This window comes from Homo sapiens, chromosome 4, assembly GCF_000001405.40.
Source record: "Homo sapiens chromosome 4, GRCh38.p14 Primary Assembly".
Taxonomy (NCBI): Eukaryota; Metazoa; Chordata; class Mammalia; order Primates; family Hominidae; genus Homo; species Homo sapiens.
Window position 1 is genome coordinate 17,585,727 of NC_000004.12, and position 21,456 is coordinate 17,607,182.

The 21,456-nt window shown below is 43.5% G+C and overlaps 1 protein-coding gene and 1 long non-coding RNA gene across 3 annotated transcripts in view; one reads left to right on the forward strand and one right to left on the reverse strand.

Annotated features, from left to right (window-relative positions):
- Positions 1–21,456, forward strand: part of LAP3 (leucine aminopeptidase 3) — a 30,773-nt gene that overhangs the window by 8,529 nt on the left and 788 nt on the right. The window contains exons 7-12 of the mRNA NM_015907.3: positions 3,093–3,251; positions 9,684–9,808; positions 11,320–11,408; positions 12,730–12,832; positions 18,862–18,941; positions 21,103–21,212. Of these exons, the coding sequence (NP_056991.2) occupies positions 3,093–3,251; positions 9,684–9,808; positions 11,320–11,408; positions 12,730–12,832; positions 18,862–18,941; positions 21,103–21,212 (666 nt within the window). The remainder of the gene's footprint in view (positions 1–3,092; positions 3,252–9,683; positions 9,809–11,319; positions 11,409–12,729; positions 12,833–18,861; positions 18,942–21,102; positions 21,213–21,456) is intronic.
- The window catches only part of MED28-DT (MED28 divergent transcript), a 28,339-nt gene continuing 7,398 nt past the window's right edge, over positions 516–21,456 (reverse strand). The window contains exons 3-4 of one of the 2 annotated variants that reach the window (NR_186330.1): positions 2,592–2,755; positions 516–1,953 (exon numbers count right to left, since the gene is read on the reverse strand). This is a non-coding gene — a long non-coding RNA (MED28 divergent transcript). The remainder of the gene's footprint in view (positions 1,954–2,591; positions 2,756–21,456) is intronic. The other variant, NR_186331.1, reaches the window with a different exon arrangement.

A 21,456-nucleotide genomic window follows, 5' to 3' on the forward strand; every position in this document is an offset into this window, starting at 1 on the left:
TAGAATATTCACAGAGTTGTGCTACCATGACCACAATCAATTTTAGAACATTTTCATAACCCCCAAAGGAAACCCTATACCCATTAGCAGTTACTCCCTGTTTCCCATTCCCTAAAGCCAGCAGGGGATGGACACTTTGGTTGTTTTTACCTTTTATTTCTTTTTGGTATATGCCTAGGAGTTGAATTGCTGAATCAAATCGTAGTTCTGTTTAACTTTTTGAGGAACTTCACATGGCTTATTTTGGTGAATTATTCCTATCATCACTTTTGGACACAAATGAAGAACACAGCATGCCTAACTAGACATGGGATGAGAATTTCTGCCTCATAGATTCCCTTAGCCTAGACTCCAGCATTGGTGCTCCCAGGTGTCCCTGAATGCTGTGTCAGTGGGAGGCTGTTGGAGCTGAAAGCCTGCTCGTCCAGTTCCGTCGCTCTCTTGGGATCTCCAGCCCTTTAAGCAAACCAACTCTGAGCATTTGGGAATTTATAATTAAAACAAATGAACAGGTATTTGTTTGACCTAAAGAATTCTTTATTGTCAAAGTTGTTTCCCAAGGGTACTTCCATTTAAAAGAATTCTTTAGTACTTAATTGTGATTAGAGTTCGTGTTTTTCAGGAAAGCATCTATGGTTTAGACAGAGTGAAGAAAAATTAATAGTCTGTAGAAAGCACAGTACTTAGAGCTTGATAAAATTTCTGGAATGGTTAGTATATGTTTAATCTATAGCAATGTTTAGGTTCTATAAAAGTATCTTTTTGGTCACCAAATAGTGGTTATGACAGCCCCTCTGGTGTGCCTGGAATTTATCATACAAAGATGCATGAAGTGGTCCTTGTCCTTGCAGAAAGTGAGGATGTTGTAAGAAGGAATAGGGAGGTAAATGGCATTTGCAGAGGGTACTGCAGGATCAGAGGGATGAGGGGGACTGCCAAAGAATATGAAGCTGCTGGTGCGATTGTGCACACCTCTATTTGCAGCTACTCAAGAGGCAGGCAGGAGGGTCTGTCAAGTCCAGAAGTTCAAGGCCAGCCTAGGGAACATAGCAAGACCCATCTCTAAAATAAAAATTTTAATAAGAATATGGAGTCTAGGCCAGGCATGGTGGCTCATGACTGTAATCCCAGCACTTTGGGAGGCTGAGGCAGGTGGATCACTTGAGGTCAGGAATTCAAGACCAGCCTGGCCAACATGGCGAAACACCATCTCTACTAAAAGTACAAAACTTAGCTGGGAGTGGTGGTGCGTGCCTGTGATCCCAGCTACTCGGGAAGCTGAGGCACAAGAATTGCTTGAATCTGGGAGATGGAGGTTGCAGTGAGCTGAGATCGCACCGCTGCACTCCAGCCTGGGCGACAGAGAGACACTGTGTCTCAAAAAAAGACTGGAGCCTAAGGAGAGTCCTGCAGGTTGCTTAGAAGTTACAGTACAAGAGAGTGGGGCAGGACAGTTCAGGTGAGGAAGCTGCAAAACTTGTAGCCGAGCAAAGGGAAAAGAGTTCAGCAGAGACCAGGCAGGACGCATGGGTGGGGTATGACTCGTTAAACTGAGACATAGCCGCGCTAAGCACTCTCCATTGTAGGTCAGTGTATATCAGAGAAACACAGGCAGTTCTTCCACAAGGGCAGGACTTTAATCAGACATCAAGTACTGAGTTAATGATTTAAAATGCCCACATTGCACAGCCTTGTTGTTGTTGTTTTTTTTTTTTTTTTGAAGTGATTTTTAAAACTGTTTCATCTTCCGATTTAAAATTTTTTTCCCTTTGAAGTGTGCTGGTCATCCCACCATGATGCAGTCCTAGTTTAATCATTTTAACAAGTGGATGGCAAATGCCGGAGGAGCATTCCTTGGCTGTGGTTGTTGCTGGTCTGCAGGAGGATAGAATTTCTTTCTTGGCCTAGTTACCGTGGCCAGAAATCAATACAAAGCCCTTTTGTGCTCCTAGCCTAGAAAGAAGAGCAATATGGCATCAGTTTTCTAGTTTGAACTAAGGACTGTTTCCATTCTGTTACCCCACCGATCCCATGTTTATTAAGTAAGAACTAACTAGTTTTCTCACTTAAAGATGCCTCAAGCAACAGTTGAAACTGTGAGAAACAGTGTGTGACAACATTAAAAAGATAGAATTCAACAGTTCTTAAAAAGCAAATAAATAGGATATTTTTTTTCCAGTCATTGGGATATAGCTTTGGTTTGCTGTCTGTTGGTTGATTTTTTTTTTTTTTCATTTTTAGAAATAAAGCAATGGACCCCTTACCTATCTTTAAGCACTCTTTGTGGTCTCAGAGCCTATTGCTAATTTTATTTTTTTAAGAGACAGGGTGTTGCTATGTTGCCCAGGTTGGGTGCTGTGGCGAGATCGTGGCTCACTGCAGCCTTGACCTCTAGGGCTCAAGCGAGCCTCTTGTCTTAGCCTCTGCAGTAGCTAGGACAATAGGCAGGCACCAACATGCCTGGCTAATTTTTTCTTTTTTTTTTTTCTGTAGAGACCAAGTCTCAACTTGTTGCCTAGGCTGGTCTCAAATTTCTATCCTCAAGTGATCCTCCTTCATTGGCCTCTAATTTCATCTTTATTATATCTTACCTTATTTGTTTTAGAGACAGTTTCACTTTTTTGCCCAGGCTGGTTTCAAACTCCTGAGCTGAAGCAATTCTCTCACCTCAGCCTTCCAAAGTGCTGGGATTACAGGCATGAGCCACCGCACCCGGCCTTCTAACTTCATCTTTAAATTAAAATTGTAGAAATATCTGAGTAGATTGGAGAGAGGAAATTAATTATATAGACTGTAGACTATTAGTTGACATTGTATTAGGTACCACACATGACTTCTCTTAGTAATTCAATAATCTTTTGATGGAAGAATTACAGACCTCATTTTATAGATGAGGAAATAGGCTTAGAATCAAGTGACTTGCCCAAGAATATACAGAAAGCAAATAATGGGACCTGATAATTGAAACCTTAATGTGCGTATACTTTAAGAGTTTGTATATTATACTTTTTCACACACTGTGATGAGCTTTTTCTGTTATTTTGAAATAAAGGTAACAGTATATTTACTTTTTCCCTCTTTCTACCCTATAGACCCAAGTCTTGGATTGAGGAACAGGCAATGGGATCATTCCTCAGTGTGGCCAAAGGATCTGACGAGCCCCCAGTCTTCTTGGAAATTCACTACAAAGGCAGCCCCAATGCAAACGAACCACCCCTGGTGTTTGTTGGGAAAGGAATTACCTTTGACAGGTATTTTTTATGGTGTCCGTGCTTTGTATTTTGGTGAATTATTTGTGTGCAGTTTAATTACTTGGTTATAGGGTTTTTTGGTTTGATTTTTTTTTTTTTTTGAGGCAGAGTCTCACCCTGTCACCCAGGCTAGAGTGCAGTGGCGTGATCTCGGCTCACTGCAGCCTCTGCCTCCCAGGCTCAAGCAATCCTTGTGCCTCAGCCTCCCAAGTAGCTGGGATTACAGGCGTGCACCACCACACCCAGCTAATTTTTGCATTTTTAGTGGAGATGGGGTTTTGCCGTGTTGGCCAGGCTGGTTTTGAACTCTTGGCCTCAAGTGATCCGCCCACCTCAGCCTCCCAAAATGCTGGGATTACAGACATGAGCCACTGTGCCTGGCCGGTTTATAGTTTGATACAAAAGCATGGTGTTTGGTTGAAGGTATACATTACTTTAAATTTATTATGCTACCACCTCTAAAATGCTTAGAATATGTCAGAGACTATCAGGTATTTTGCATGTGTTAGCCCTAACCATACCCCTGTGGGCTAGGTATTGTAGACATTCTCCAGGTAAAGAAACCATGACTCAGAGTTTAAATAATTTGTTCAAAGTCCTATAACTAGTAAGTGGAGTCCGAAGTCAAACTCAGGTGTGTCGTGTCCTTTTTTTAAAAAAAATATAGAGATGAGTTTTCACTGTGTTGCCCAAACTGGTCTTAAACTGCTGTCTCAAGCAATCCTCCCACCTCAGCCTCCCAAAGTGCTGGGGTTATAGGTGTGAGCCATTGTGCTCTGCCTAAAGTGTCTTCAGATTTTTCTGCCATGCACTTTGCTTGTCCTCTGTGGCTGTTAAAGATTCTCCACGAGGTTAGTGGTGATGCCCCTGTTTGTATTATGCTGTCTTCCCTTTGCTTGCTTCAGATGATTACTTCTTTTAGCTGACCAGTCTAGCTCCCATTAATCTTATTCAACCATAAGTATTTCTTAGAGTTGGAAACTGTATCTGGTTATTTCAGCCAAGGAGAGGCTGAACTGAGAAAGATAGTGGAGTTTGGTATTTCCCATGGGAAGCATTTGCCACCAAACACAAGTTTCAGGGATGCCAGCGAGTATGAGACGTAAAAAGGGCTACTTAGCAAAAAAACTAGGTTAGAGAAACCCATGAGGGGTTTCATTTTTGTTTTATTTGCTTAACTACAGGACTTCTCAGGGTACAGAATATAGCATTTTCTGTATTTCCTTTTGAAGGAACCCTGATTCCTGGGAATCATGTTACCTGGAAACTACTTTGGAAAATGCTGCTAGAGAACCATACGATGTTGATGTCCCCTTGTACATTTTTGTGCCCTTTCTGGAATGCTTCTAGACGTAGGAAGCCCCTGTCATTGGCATAGCTTGCTGTCAGTGTGGTCTCCTTGTGTTAGCAGGTCAAAGTGCCTCCTTGTGTCTCCCACCCACTAGTTCACATTTTCTCCTTTAAAGCATTGATCTCCAAATGGTTTTCCTGGTATAGCCCATCAGTAAAAGATCTTGAGTGCATCCCTTTGAAAATATGCATGCTTTTTTATAAGTTATATGCATTATACTATTGTACTAAAGTGTCTATTATTTTATTTATTTATTTTTTTGAGACAGAGTCTAGCTCTGTTGCCCAGGCTGGAGTGCAGTGGCGTAATCTCGGCTCACTGCAAGCTCCGCCTCCCGGGTTCACACCATTCTCCTGCCTCAGCCTCCCGAGTAGCTGGGACTACAGGCCCCCGCCACCATGCCCGGCTAATTTTTTGTAGTTTTAGTAGAGATGGGGTTTCAGCTTGTTAGCCAGGTGGTCTCGATCTCCTGACCTCGTCATCTGCCCGCCTCGGTCTCCTGAACTGCTGGGATTACAGGCGTGAGCCACTGCGCCTGGCCACTAAAGTGTGTATTATAAAAACAATACAGCAAACACAATTTAGAAAGTTAAACTTTTTTTTTTTTTTTTTTTTTTTTTAGTAGAGACGTGGTCTTGCTATGTTGCCCAGGCTGGTTTTGAACTTCTGAGCTCAAGCAATCTGCCTGCCTTGGCCTCCCAAAGTGCTAGGATTACAGGTGTGAGCCACCACACCCAGCCTAAACTTTTGTTTTGTTTTGTTTTTTGAGACGGAATCTTGCTCTGTTGCCCAGGCTGGAGTGCATTGGCGCAGTCTTGGCTCATTGCAACCTCTGCCTCCTTGGTTCAAGTGATTCTCCTGCCTGAGCCTCCCGAGTAGCTGGGATTACAGGTGCCTGCTACCACTCCTGGCTAATTTTTTTTGTATTTTTAGTCCCGAGTAGCTGGGATTACAGGTGTCTGCCACCACGCCTGGCTAATTTTTTTCTATTTTTGGTAGGGATGGGGTTTCACCATGTTGGCCAGGCTCGTCTCAAACTCCTGATCTCGTGATCCCCCCACCTTGGCCTCCCAAAGTGCTGGGATTACCGGTGTGAGCCACCACACCTGGCCCTAGACTAAATGTCTTGCCAATTGTGACACAAATATTTTTATGCTAAGGGTGAAGTTTATTGTTAATTTAAGTCCACATTTGTAATTTTTGCTGAGAATAAAAACAAAGAGGCCTAAACCCAAAGCCTTCTTTGGGTTTAGAGAAGGTTTCCTTGCAGGAGTGTCAGTTTTAGCTGAAGATGTGAAGAATCAGGAGGAATTAGCTCAGGAGAGACTAGGGACAGGCATTCTAGTGCAGGGAAACATGGTGAAGGCTGTAAGGTGGGAAGGAGCAGGGTAAATTCCTGGTATGGCAAGAGTACCAGTGTGCCTGCACACAAGAGCGTGATGGAGAGAAGGGGCAAGATACGGCTAGAGAGGTACACAGAAGCTTGGTCGCTGCGGGCCTGCTTAGATTTTTGCACTCTGCTCTGAGAACAGTTGGCCGTAACTGAAGGGTTTCCACCAAACAGAATGACGTGAGATTTATACATACAGTGAAATTCACCCTCTAAGTGGCCAGCTCAATGAGTTTTAACAAATGTGTGCACCTTGGGGGGGTGCAGTGGCATACACCTGTAATCTCAGCTACTTGGGAAGCTGAGGTAGGAGGATTACATGAGCCCAGGAGTTCAAGAGCAGCCTGTGCAACATAGTAAAACACCATCTTTAAATAAATAAATAGATAGATTAGATAGGTAGATAGATTGATTTTAAAAACCAAAGAACAAATGTATACACCTATGCACCGTTCACCACTGTCAGGAAAATACAACATTTTTATCATCCCCCAGAAGTTCCCTTCTGCCTTTTTGTAGTCATTCCCCACCTGCCCTTGCTCCAGACAGCCGATCATCTTCCTATTACTGCAGATTAGTTTTGCCTATTCCGGAAAGTCATATAAATGCAGTCTTTGATGTCTGGCTTCTTTCAGCGTAGTATCTGGGGTTTATCTATGTTGTTGGTCATGTCAGCCATTCTTCTTTTCTATTGTTGAGTAGTGTTCAATTGTATGGAAATGCCAAATTTTGTTTACCCATTCATCTATTGGTGGAAATTTGTGTTGTTTCCAGTTTTAGGCTATTAGGAATAAAGTTAAGAGCATCTGTAAGCCTTTGTGTGGACGTGTTTTCCTTACTCTTGCGTAAATACCTAGGAAAACAGCCACTGTGTTGTATAATAACTGAGTGTTTAACTTTTAAGAAACTACCAAACTTTTCCAAAGCGGGTACATTTTCACTTCTACCATCAATGTACAAAGATTCTAATTGTTCTACACCTTCCTCAGTATTTGATATTGTCAGTCTTTATAATTCTAGCTGTACCAGTGAGTATACAGTGATCTCTCTTTGTGGTTTAATTTGCATTTCTCTAGTGACTAATGAAGTCGGTCATTTTTTATTTTTTGAGACGGAGTCTCGCTCTGTCACCCAGGCTGGAGTGCACCTCGGCTCACTGCACCTCCGCCTTCTGGGTTCAAGCAATTCTCCTGCCTCAGCCTCCCGAGTAGCCGGGACTATAGGCACACACCACCATGCCTGGCTAATTTTTGCATCTTTAGTAGAGACGGGTTTTCACCATGTTGGCCAGGCTGGTCTCAAACTCCTGATCTCAAGTGATCTGCCTGCCCCAGCCTCCCAGAGTGCTGGGATACAGGCATGAGCCATCACACCCAGCCAAAGCTGGGCATTTTTTAATGTGCTTATTGGACATTGGTATATCTTCTGTAGTAAGGTATTCAAATCTTTTGCCCCTTTTTATAGGAGTGTTGGCTTTACAGAATTGTAAGGTTTTTTAAAAATATATTTCATTTTAAGTGAGTTTTAGATTTTGACGCTATGCTTCACTTTGAATCTTTGTGTATGGTGTGAAAAGACCTGGTTTGTTTTTGTCTTTTTTTTTTCCTATGTGGCTGTTCATTTACTTCTGCACTGTTTGTTGAAAAGACTGTCCTTTCCCCACTAGACTACCTTGGCACCTCGGGTGGAAATCAGTTGTCCATATAATTGTAGGTCTGCCTCTGGGCTCTGTATCCTTTCACCAGTGCCTGAAGACCAAATATCTTGATTACTGCAGCTTTGAGTAGGCTTGAAATCTAGTCACATGAGTCCTCCAGCTTTGCTCTTCTTTTTCAGAATGACTTTGGCTACATCCTTTGCATCTTCATATACATTTTAGAATCTGCTTGGGTTTTTTTTTTTTTTTTTTTTGAGACAGTGTCTCACTCTGTTGCCCAGGCTGGAGTGCAGTGGTGCAATCTTGGCCCACTGCAGCCTCGACCTCCCTGGGCTCAGGTGATCCTCTCACCTCAACCTCCCGAGTAGCTGGGACTACAGATGCGAACCACTATGCCCAGCTAATTTTTGTATTTTTTATAGAGATGGGGTTTTGCCGTGTTGCCCAAGCTGGTCTCGAACTCCTGGGCTCAAGTGATTTGCCTGCCTCAGCCTCCCTAAGTGCTGGGATTACAGGCGTGAGCCACCACACTCGGTGAATCTGCTTGTTTTTTCACACAACAAAACCTACTGAGATTTTGATTGAGATAGATTTTGTGTGTGTGTAAAAATGTGCTGTTTTTATGGTTAATGAAATGACAGTGGTGAGACTGATACAGAAAGACCCGTTAAGGAGACCTGACAAACATCCAAATGACAGAGGGTAGTAGCATCAATGAGGGCGGCTGAGTAGAAAATAAGTGGGTGGATTTGAGAGAGATTGAAAAAGTGAGCCAAAGCTGATTGCTGATCTTTAACTGGTGGCTACCTTAGAACCATAGTCATAGGAATTAGAGAGCAGAACTTCCAGAAGAGGCCTGCAGATAAATGTGGCAGGTGGACAGAAGAAAAACTTCAAATACAACAGCGTGTTCCCTTTGTCCATGGGGTTTACCCATGTTATTTTTCTTCTTTGAGCCAGGGGATCATCTTTAATTCTTGGTGAACATGCCAACCATCTAAGTAACAAGTGCTTCTGAGGTAAGTGAGAATTAGGATTTAATTTTGAAGGAAAGCAGACTTCAGAGCAGCAGGCAGACCTCTCTCCAGTGAGCCACCAGGGCACATGAGCAGCAGATCTCAATTAGAACTTAGAGTCGAAGCCCCTGGCTCTGTGCTTGGCCTGTGAAGCATGTTGCTTCTGGACTCCTACGGACTGGAAGCAGAAAAACCACTAGCTAGTTAGAAGCCTCTGGGGGTCAGGTAGTTTGGTTTCTTGCTAATTGCAGCCTTATTCAGTTCTCATGTTGAAGTACTGTCTCTCAGCCATTGGGCCTGTGCCTCATTTAGGTTGTATTTTGCCATCAGCAGGATATAGCACACCTTGTGCAGTGTTGGAAGGAAATGTTAGCCCTCTGTCCTGTCGGTTTCAGAGAAATGCCTCCAGTCATCTCTGTGAGCTCATCAGCTTTTCTTAACAGCTCATGACCTTCACGTTCCATAAGTTGATCAATTCATAAAATTTGCTGAATAGACTATGTGGGTGTCAGGAGTTAATCAGACAATACAGAGATGGAATTTGCACAGTCTTGATTTTATGATATAGTAATGTTTCCAGTGGCACTGTTTAAATTTCATTCAAGTAGAAATAAAATGAGCTAAAGGCTGGGCGCGATGGCTAATGCCTGTAATCCCAGCACTTTGGGAGGCCGAGGCTGGCGGATCACGAGGTCAGGAGATCGAGACCATCCTGGCTAACAAGGTGAAACCCCATCTCTACTAAAATCACAAAAAAATTAGCCAGGCATGGTGGCAGCTGGGACTACAGGCGCCCACCACCACACCCGGCTAATTTTTTTGTATTTATAGTAGAGATGGGTTGCACCGTGTTAGCCAGGATGGTCTCGATCTCCTGACCTCGTGATCCGCCCACCTCGGCCTCCCAAAGTGCTGGGATTACAGGCGTGAGCCACCGTGCCCATCTGTACTTTTTAAATAAAGTGATTTTGGCCATCTTCTTTGCTCTTAATATTGCACGTTGTCCATTTCCCCATAGTGGTGGTATCTCCATCAAGGCTTCTGCAAATATGGACCTCATGAGGGCTGACATGGGAGGAGCTGCAACTATATGCTCAGCCATCGTGTCTGCTGCAAAGCTTAATTTGCCCATTAATATTATAGGTAAGTGGGGTAACGGATTACATCTCATAACGCTTCTGGATTCTAGCCAGGTGGGAGAAGAGAGACAACAGATATGATTTCCCCTAATCTGAAAAGATAAGAAATGATTTTTAAATAGTCATCAAGCAGTAGCTATTTAGCCCAGATAAGTGTTTTACTGTCTGAGCTGATTGAGCTAAATGTATCTTGCAACCAGTGGGCTGTAACTGGAATTGATTTGTTTCACTTCTGCAAAAAGTGGCTAGCAGTCAGGGGCACATAATGTCAAGTTTGTAGTTGACATTATGAAACTTGCTGGGTACTTGGGGTGGCAGGACGTTGCTGGCTCATTGACTGATTGCTTCGTAGGATTGTGGCCGGTGAAATGGCACAACACACAGAAAGTGCCTAGAACAGAAAAAGTGCTCATTATGTGGCAGTTCTTAGTAATGGAAGATACAAACTCCCAGGCACAGTACTGGGAGTTTGTATAATAGCATTGCTCATACTCATTTCAGAGGAGACGGGGAAGGAGGAGAGAGTCTTAGGTTAAATAATAATGCCCTGACTCTTGTCCATTGCACAAGGAAGGTAGAATTGGAATCCAGGTCTCAGACATGCCCCCCTCCTTCACTATCATAGTCCTTTTTTTTCCTGAACTATTTAAAAGTCAGTTGCAGACATCACGACACGTCCTCTAAGAAAAAGGACATTCTATGTAATGACAAAACCATTATCTTTTCCGAGGATTAATTCAGTAACCTAATTCAAGTTTCCAGTTGTGTAAAAAATGTCCATTTTATTTATTTATATTTAGGTTTTTTTGGTTTTTTGGTTTTTTTTGAGATGGAGTTTCGCTCTTGTTGCCCAGGCTGGAGTGCAATGGCGCGATCTTGGCTCACCACAACCTCCACCTCCCGGGTTCAAGTGATTCTTCTGCCTCAGCCTCTTGAGTAGCTGGGATTACAGGCATGCGCCACCATGCCTGGTTAATTTTGTATTTTTAGTAGAGACGGGGTTTCTCCATGTTGATCAGGCTGGTCTTGAACTCCTGACCTCAGGTGATCTGCCCGCCTTGGCCTCTCAAAATGCTGGGATTACAGGCATGAGCCACCGCGCCTGGCCTATATTTAGCTTTTAAATCCAGAAACTAATCAAGGACCACACATTGCTGTTGGTGCCCCTTTAGATTTCTTGATTCTAGACCCTATTCCTGTTTTCTTCCACGGCATTAGCAGTTTTGAAGGGTCTAGGCTTGTTTCATGATATTCTGCAATTTGTATTTATTTGAATTGCTTCTTCTTGATTAGAATCAAGTTAGACTTCTTTGGGAAGAATGCTACATGGGTGATGTGTACTTCTTGTTGCTGACACATCATGTCAGTTGTGTCATTGGTGATGTTAAATTTGATCAGTTCGTTAAGGTGGCCTTTGTGTCTTGCTTCTCATGGCTCACAGGTGGCCTCTTGTCCCATAGGTGGCATGTTTGGACCCAGTATATACTGTGTGCCTTCATATATTATTTCCAATAGGTCTGGCCCCTCTTTGTGAAAATATGCCCAGCGGCAAGGCCAACAAGCCGGGGGATGTTGTTAGAGCCAAAAACGGGAAGACCATCCAGGTTTGTAAATGTGAGACACAGCACTCCCCATCCAGCGTTCCTCAGGAATCCCGTGGTGGCCACATAACCACAGCTAGGATGCGTGCAGAGCCCCAGAACCATATTAGGGGAGGGTGCTGTCTTTAGTGCTGGGTAGCCTTTCTTTTCCTTCCCTTTCCTGAAATGGGGTCTCGCTGCATCACCCAGGCTGTAGTGCAGTGGCGTGATCATGTCTCACTGCAGCCTTGACCTCCCCAGGCTCAGGTGGTCCTCACACCTTAGCGACCTGAGTAGCTGGGACCACAGGTGCGTGCCACCATGCCTGGCTAGCTTTTTGTAGACACAGGGTTTTGCCATGTTTCCCAGGCTGGTCCCAAACTCCTAGACTCAAGTGATCTGCCCACCTTGTTCTCCCAAAGTGCTAGGATTACAGGCGCGAGCCACCATTCCCGGCCCCTGAGTAGCTTTTCTTGCAAAGGCAGAAGTATCTTTTTTGGGGGATTTTGAAGAATGTTTTTCCAGACTTATTGTTCCTCCCATTTCCTGTATGCTATACATGTGTATACACACGTTTCCATGAATTTGCTGCCAGCCCTGCAGAGGGCGGCAAAGCAGTAAAATTGTGGGCTATCTTCTGGATATACCTGTGCTATGAGTGACTTTTTTCCATTGTAGGTGTTGAGGTAGAACATACTGTCCTACATCATGGGCCCTGCACTGAAGGGGATGTGGCAGCAGGTCCTCTGGGTGGCACGTGCATGCAGGTGTGTACAAGCCACTCAGAAAACGACTGGACCTCTATTTAAAAGAAAGGAATATAGTTAGGAAGTGTTACTGAAGTTGCAAGAGTTTTCATTTCTAGGATTGAGACTGCCATGTAGCTGTAGCTTTCTTAAAGCTCTTTAACCTCATTTTTGGAAATCTTTACATTTTTCCCCTTCTTGTTACAAAGTTACGGGTAAAATGGACTAGACATTTTTCTATTTATTTTGGCTTCCAAAGTCATCAACATTAGGTCATCAGCTCTGGTACAGTGATTATTATATTATTATTTTTTTATTTTTAATTAGAAATGGGGTTTCACCATCTTGCCTAGGCTGGTGTCGAGCTCCTGGGCTCAAGCTGTCTGCCCACCTCTACCTCCCAAGGTGCTGGGGGATTATTAAATCATATTTGCTCTCCAGATTAGATATGTTCCTATTCTCATTGAAGTATGAATGGTTTGATAATGACACACGTCACAGTAGCTTTTTCCAACTTTTCCGTCGAACACTGTTGCAAGTGTCTAGTTTTCATATTCTTTACTTGCGCTGTCACCCTTTCTGTTTTTGACCCTCTGCAGGTTGATAACACTGATGCTGAGGGGAGGCTCATACTGGCTGATGCGCTCTGTTACGCACACACGTTTAACCCGAAGGTCATCCTCAATGCCGCCACCTTAACAGGTCAGACCGCGCACTTGCCTTGATTTTGTTTGAAGGAAGTCTTGTTCGTTGCATGGATTTCACACACTATACTTGTGGCATTATTTTGCTAAAATTTGGCTTGGTCCATTGGCATTCAAAGATCTTTCACCAGAGGAATTGTTCTGCAGTTGTAAAATGTTTTGAATATTAGGTTTGTCGTTTTAAAACATTCCAAGCTGTACTTTTTTTTTGAGACGGAGTGTCACTCTGTCATCCAGGCTGGAGTGCAGTGGCGTGATCTTGGCCTCCTGAGTTCAAGTGATTCTCCTGCCTCAGCCTCCCAAGTAGCTGGGGTTACAGGTACGCACCACCAGTCCTGGCGAATTTTTGTATTTTTAGTAGAGACGGGGTTTTTGCCATGTTAGCCAGGCTGGTTTCGAACTCCTGAACTCAGGTGATCCACCCGCCTCAGCCTCCCAAAGTGCTGGGGTTACAGGCATGAGTCACTGTGCCTGGCCTAATTTTTATATTTTAGTAGAGATGGGGTTTAACCATGTTGGCCGGGCTGGTCTCAAACTCCTGACCAAGGTGATTCACCTGTCTCAGCCTCCCAAAGTGCTGGGATTACAAGATTACAGAAGTGAGCCACTGTGCCCAGCCTGGGCTGTACCTTTAAGCAGAAATAACAAGTGCGCCAGATCAGCTCATCTAGAGTGACATCTAAAAATGATGTTAAGAGCCAGGAGCGGTGGCTCACACCTGTAATCCCAGCACTTTGGGAGTCCGAGGCAGATGGATTATGAGGTCAGGAGATCGAGACCATCCTGGCCAACATGGTGAAACCTTGTCTCTACTAAAAATACAAAAATTAGTTGGGTGTGTGGCACGTGCCTGTAATTCCAGCTACTCGGGAGGCTGAGGCAGGAGAATTGCTTAAACCCCAGAGGTGGAGGTTGTAGTGAGCCGAGATCATGCCACTGCACTCCAGCTTGGTGACAGAGCGAGACTCCCTCTTAAAAAATAAAATAAAATAAAATAAATGATGTTAAGAGATTGTTTCTGTTACAATTACCATTTGATACAGATCTGAAAAGATTAGTGATAAATCCCCAAGTCAATAGCTTTCTTTTACTTTTTTAAACTAATTGTAATGTATCTAATACCCTCTGAGCTTTCAGAGCTTTACTTTTTTTTTTTTTTTCTTCTGGAACTTTTTATACTTGATGTCATAAGGAAATAAAAACATTTTACCAGAGTAGCAGGATTCTCATTTAACAAGTGACACAGTGTGAAGCCAGCGCTTTAAGGCCAGGCTCAGGTGGAACTCCCAGCTGTGCCACTTACTAGTCAGTTAGCCGTGGGCAAGTTTCTTGGCCCTTTTGAGCATTGGTACTTGGGGACAATTCCATTTGCTTGGAAGAGCTGTAAAGGCTGGAGGGAGTTTCTTGAAAGCCTCTTTAATACAGGCTGTGACACCACCAGCCCTGGAGGGCTGGGAATAGATTCCTAAAGGGATGACAAACAAGTGTTGTCTTATTGCCAAATCCCAATGTTCATAATCTTGCATCCAAATGTTCTCTTCCTAGTAATTCATCCTGACTCTACCCCTTTTTAAAAAAAATTAATTTCTGAATCTTAAAGTCAGACTCTACCTCTTTTAAGATGAAAATTTAGATCATTTTTTATCCTTTGGTTTTATTCTTGCCCTGGTCATGTTGAGCCTTTACTTTGGCAGAAATCATGTTCCCTTTTGTATGTAGGTCTAAAAATAGTCCACAGGTCTATTGCTAAGAGTTTTTTTTCAAAGCTGGCATTATAGTGTTTTCATGGTTTTTGGTCTATCTATTCAGTTTAGCAAACACTTTACCTGAAAAGCAGAGCTTCTAGGGTGGGGGGTTGGGGGAGGCACTGGCAGTGAAGCGAGTACCCCCTTACTGTAAATGAGGAATCACAGAGGATAGATACATCAGATACGTCAAGTTCTACAATTTAAACATAACGTTCATAATTACCACTTGGGGAATACTTTTCCTAGATGCTTAATAGCAGCATTCTACCCCACTTTTTTCTCAGTCTGAGGGGTTGAGAAGGTGGGAAAGTTGGCCCTACGTAAGCAAGGGTGACCTTCTGGGTGAGCTTTCAGACCACACCAGGTGATGGTTCCCCAAATACTACTGAGCCCCTTCTGAGTTCCAGAAGCTAGGGTTCCAAGAGGAGAATAAGAACCAGTTTCTAAACTCAGGCTCTTGATAGGAGGAAGTACACAGTCTTCAGAAATAGAAGACCTGATTTTAAAACTTGTCCTAACTTTTAATAGCACGTTAAAAGTTGGACTAGGCTTTAGTTGTCTCATCCATAAAAGGGGTATAATAGCACCTCGTTCACAGGAAGGATGCCGTGAAGATTAAATGAGACAATACAGGTTGATGTCCATGGCCCAGTACATCATAGACACTGAAACAGATGTTACTGTCCTTTGCCTTTGAAAGGCAGGCCGTACCCCAGATTGTAGGAACAGTGACATATTCGGGGATGGCCATATCCAATCACAGTGTTTCTTTTCATTTTCTTAATGCTTGGGCATAATTTAGGATTGAATGAGTGTGGTGCTATCCTCACTTTCCTTGGGGCTTTGATGTTTCTTCCAGACTATGAGCAATTCTGGTAACATTGATCAGTGAGCATCACAACACAGGGCTCCAAACGTGCCTTGTAAATAAAAATGGGAAGTATGCCTCTGCTACTAGTAGTTCTGAAATGGGCTGTGGAAATAATTCTGGAATTATAGAGAATAAACTATTTAGCTATATAATAAAATCATCTTTAGAGCCGTGGTCCCAACTGGACCACCTTAAATACTTATGTCTGCCATTTTTTATTACTTTAAGGGAAGATAGCATGGTCTTGTTTGAGGGGATTGTTCATCTTTTCTATGACAAATTTTAAAACTGATAGATGACTCTTAGGGGGTTGACTGAAATATTTTGAGGACAAGTGAATAATTATATAAAAAACCACTAACTTGTAAAGTATTAATAGGTATGTATATATTGTCCCTCAGTATGCGTGGGGGATAGGTTCTAGGATCCCCCCTCAGATACCAAACCCACGATGCTCACATCCCTTATGTAAAATGGCATAGTATTTATATATAACCTATGTACATCCTCCAGTACACTTAAGTCATCTCTAGATTAGTTATACTGCCTAATACAATGTAAATGCTATGTAAATATTCGTTACACTGTATTGTTTAGGGAATAATGACAAGAAAAAAAGTCCGTGTATGTTCAGTACTGATGCAGCCATCTCCCCCGCTTCAAAATATTTTCTGTTGACTCCATAGTCAACAGAACATAGTCATATTTCTGTTGACTCCAAAATATTTGGTTGACTCCATAGATGCAGAACACACGGATACGGAGGGCTGACTAGTTAGTACTATCTTCAAGTTTCAGTTTTCCTTGGGAGAGATGCTAATGAGCAGTTTCATGTAAAGACATGGTTAAGAATTTAAGGAGCAACTTGGACATACTTTGCATTGCAGGGAGCAAATGCCACCTTGTGAAGACTATAGATTGCCCCCAGTTTCAGTGCTGCCTCCTCTGACATTCCATATGTGTGTCCTGGTACTGATGGTGGTGGGTTCAGTGCTTGTCCTGATACTGAAGGATAGTAAGGTTTGCTTTTCCTTTCAATAAATACTTAGCTCCTTTATGCCAGGCAGTGTGCTTTCTGGGCCCTAAGGATATGCCTAGGAAGCAGACGTGTTCCTTGACTCAGCGCTTACAGATGGGCCAGGCAAATAACAAATGAGATTACTAGGAGCTCATACCACAACTAAAGGAGGCAGCACTAAGTGGCTGTACCTGATTGTCTCTTCTCAAGAGGACCTGCAAATCTGGATTTTTAAGTTGATTTTTTAAAAATATGCTAATTAATGTAAAAATAGAAGTCAGCCAATGGGACACAACTTTGTTGGAGAAAAAACTAAAGATGAAACAAGTAAATATTATGCAGTAATAACAGCCATCAAAGTCTTATAGCAGTACTTAGATGTGATTAAAATTGCTGAAAAATTAGATTCCTTAAATTATGATATCTCCATCCAGTGGACTATTTTTACATCATTAAAAATATTTTCCAACATTTGTTTATAAAAGAGGAATAATTTTTTCTCTTTTTTTTGAGACGGAGTCTCACTCTGTTGCCCAGGCTGCAGTGGCACGATCTCAGCTCACTGCAGCCTCTGCCTCCTGGGTTCAAGCCATTCTCCTGCCTCAGCCACCTGAGTAGCTGGGATTACAGGCATGCGCCACCACACTCGGATTTTTGTATTTTTAGTAGAGACGGGGTTTCACAGTGTTGGTCAGGCTGGTCTCGAACTCCTGACCTCAAGTGATCCACCCGTCTCAGCCTCCCAAAATGCTGGGATTACAGGTGTGAGCCACCGCGCCCAGCCAAAGAGGAATAGGATAAATTTTTAAAGCATAAAAGGAAGAACACAGCCAGGCGCGATGGCTCACACCTGTAATCCCAGCACTTTGGGAGGCCGAGGTGGGTGGATCACGAGGTCAGGAGATCAAGACCATCCTGGCTAACACGGTGAAACCCCCTCTCCACTAAAAATACAAAAAAAATTAACCAGGTGTGGTGGCATGTGCCTGTAGTCCCAGCTACTCAGGATGCTGCGGGAGAGAATGGCATGAACCCGGGAGGTGGAGGTTGCAGTGAGCTGAGATCGCACCACTGCACTCCAGCCTGGGCAACAGAGCAAGACTCTGTCTCAAAAAAGGAGGAACACATGCTTGAGCACATACAGGATGGCCTTGTTTTTTATGAAAATTTAGAAGTTGGGCTGGGCATGATAGCTCATGCTTGTAATCCTGGTGCCTTGGGAGGCTGACATGGGAAGATTGCTTGAGCCCAGGAGTTCAAGACCAGCCTGAGCAACATAATGAGACCCCATCTCTACAGCAAGAAATCTTTTTTTTTTTTTTTTGAGACAGAGTTTCGCTCTTGTTGCTCAGGCTGGAGTGCAATGGTGCAATCTCGGCTCTCACCACAGCCTCTGCCTCCCAGGTTCAAGCGGTTCAAGCGATTCTCCTGCCTCAGCCTCCTGAGTAGCTGGGATTACAGGCATGCACCCCACGCCCGACTAATTTTGTATTTTTAGTAGAGACAGGGTTTCTCCATGTTGGTCAGGCTCGTCTCAAACTCCCAACCTCAGGTGATCCACCCGCCTCAGCCTCCCAAAGTGCTGGGATTACAGGCGTGAGGCATTGCGCCTGGCCTTTTTTTTTTTTCTTTCTTTCTTTTTTTTTTGAGACAGAATCTCGCTCTATCACCCAGGCTGGAGTGCAATGGCATGATCTCAGCTCACTGCAACCTCCGCCTCCTGGGTTCAAGCAATTCTCCCTATCTCAGCCTCCTGAGTAGCTGGGATTACAGGCACCACGCTCAGCTAATTTTTGTATTTTTAGTAGAGACGGGGTTTCTACATGTTGGCCAGGCTGGTCTCGAACTCCTGACCTCAGGTGATCCCACCCGTGATGGGATTACAGGCGTGAGCCAGCATGCCCGGCCCAAAAAGAAATTTTTAATTAGCTGGGTGTGGCAGCATGTACCTGTAATTCCAGCTACTCAGGAGGCTGAGGCGGAAGGATCACTTGAGCCCAGGAGTTTGAGGCTGCATACAGTGAGCTCTGATCATACCACTACACTGCAGCCTGGGTGAGTGAGACCTTTCTCAAAAAAAAAAAAAAAAAAAAAAGGTTTAGATGTCTGGAAGGAAATTTCAAAAATAGGTTAACAGTTATCCCTAAAATGAAATTATTGGTCAAATTCAGTAGGTTCCTTTTTTGCATTTCCTAATAATTTAAGTGAATTCTGGCCTGAAAAACATAAAAATATGTTAAGTATGTACAGGAAAGATTTCCTAAGCTTATCTATTTTTGAAAATGAGGAAGCCATTAAATAGGGTACATGCTAAGGTTTCCATCTGGGTGGCGGAGGAGCCCATTTTGCCTGGAGAGACTGCACGTGACCTGAGGGCTTGTGTCTTACAGGTGCCATGGATGTAGCTTTGGGATCAGGTGCCACTGGGGTCTTTACCAATTCATCCTGGCTCTGGAACAAACTCTTCGAGGTAGGAATAATATTTGTATATCTAAATTGTAGAGATGGTGAATAAATTATTCTAGCCTTAGAAGGATAGACTTCTTCAACCCTGTGTTAAAGTGATTTTTATGCCGCAGGTTTGCCTTTGAATTGAAAATGAACCACAGCAATAGATTGAGTTCAGTGGCATTGGGTTTTCCACAAATGCTCCTAAAGGAGGGGATGATGCCCCCTGCTCCCCTCCGGTAGCCTCAGCGTCCTGTGAAAATATCTCACGAACACTGTGGTCATAGTTTTAGAATCCCTGAGGTAGAAATGGTTTTGAAGATGGCTTTGTGGAGCAGCGTTTGTGACTGCGTGTCGTGAGTCATATAAGGGAGTTCACCCTGCATCGATGAGGATGTCTTCAGACCGCTGTGCTCTGTGCCTCCCTCCATGCCCTTCACAGCCAGCCTCTTCCCAGCAGTCACCCTCACTTCCACACACACACACACACACACACACACACACCCTCACTTACTGCCATTGGTTTTCGAATGTCCACACCACTGTTAGCCTAACTCAGCCTGTCTTGAGGCAGCAGGTGACTCTGTGGCCTCCTGACACCTGGTTCAGCTTCTGTGATAATCCTTTCTTGGGCTGCCTCCTGTGATTCTCCTGCTCCTGTCTCCTGACGTGTTTGTTCCCTTTGGCCGCCCTTTGGCTGGTGTTCAATTCAAGGCCATAGGCTCTTCCTACTCTACACATTCCTCACATGGAAGCTCCAGCCAACACATGTTGCCTGATGGCTCCCATCTCTCTCCCGAGTCCCAGCCTCTGTGTACCCATGTGGCTGCTAGACAGCTCCAGCTGGCTGCTTACTCATTCATTCAACTAGTAATTAATGGGAGCTTACTCTGTGCCAGTGGGAGGGGAGACAAACATAAAATGTCCCCAAATATAATCCTGAGGGTGGTTTAAGGTCTAAACTTATTTTCACTCTAAACTGCTTCTCCTTCATATATGTCATCATTCACGAAGCCCAATTTTCCCAGTTCTGCAATACTCAGCCCCATCATCTTCTTCCAGGCCGGGCCAGGAACCTCTCCTCTGGCCTCCCACATAACCGTTATCCCTCTCTTTCATGGCACCCACAATATTGTTGTTTTGACTTTTAAAAAACATTTAAGCTTTAAAAAAAAAATCTCAGTTATATGTGCATAAATCAACAATCAGCAGCCCACAGTCTGTTTTCCAGAAGGCAGCCACTTTCAACCCTTGGCTGATTCATCTGGTATTTACTTATGTCTTAAAATAACAGCTTATATTGCTGCTTCTTGATTTTTCACTTTTAGGTCTTTGATTTTTTACCAGTGAGTTAAATAATCTGTTTATGTATCTGTTTCTCCTACTAGCCTGTAGGCCCTTGGGTGGCTCAGATGGTAGTATTTCAGCACACCTGGTGGTGCTCAGTAGTTCAGTAAACGATGAATGAGTGAGTGGGTAAGTGATGAATGAATGAATGTGGTCATCCTGTCTCAGGATTTCAGTGATACAGGTCCAGTCGTGTGTTTCTGTCACATAGAAGTGACCCGCCACATAAGAACTCTTTCACCCTCATCAACCCACAAAGCCTGTAATTGTAGTTTGATGATTTTAGCAAAATGCCCTACAGATTTGTGAAATTGCTTCACAGCATTCCCGGTTTCTTTTTATTTTTTATTTATTTATTTATTTTTGAGACGGAGCCTCGCTCTGTCGCCAGGCTGGAGTGCCGTGGCACTCCGTTGGCTCCCTGCAACCTCCCCGTCCTGGGTTCAAGCAATTCTCCTGCCTCAGCCTCCGGAGTAGCTGGGACTACAGGCGCGCACCACCACGCCCAGCTAATTTTTTGCATTTTTAGTAGAGACAGCGTTTCACCATGTTGGCCAGGATGGTCTCGATTTCTTGACCTCGTGATCCACCCGCCTCGGCCTCCCAAAGTGCTGGGATTATAGGCGTGAGCCACTGTCCCCAGCCTCCTGGTTTCTTTTATAGTTCTAAAATAAATCTTTTAATGAGTGGACACAATTCTGAAACCTATTTTCTAGTTTCATGTTTTAGAGTAACAGGTTAGAACAACTCTTCCTTCATGCATTGAGCATGTTAATGCCATGAATTTCCCACAACCTGCCTCATCCACTCTTCCACCTGTCATACCTGTTCTCTAGGCCAGCATTGAAACAGGGGACCGTGTCTGGAGGATGCCTCTCTTCGAACATTATACAAGACAGGTTGTAGATTGCCAGCTTGCTGATGTTAACAACATTGGAAAATACAGGTATGTAAGCTAAGCTAAATGTACATTTATACAATCATCCTTGATTGCCAAAATAGCTATTTTCAATTTTATCCCCTTATATAAAAGGTTTAACTATTTAATTTCCTTTTGGTGTAGTGCTTGTAAGATTTTTAATGTCTTGAATTTTCAAGTATTTCTTCAACCAGATTTCAAAATTTGCATATTTCTAATCTAATGGTAATTTTCAATAAATGGTAAGGGAAAGAGATGGAAAATATGGGAA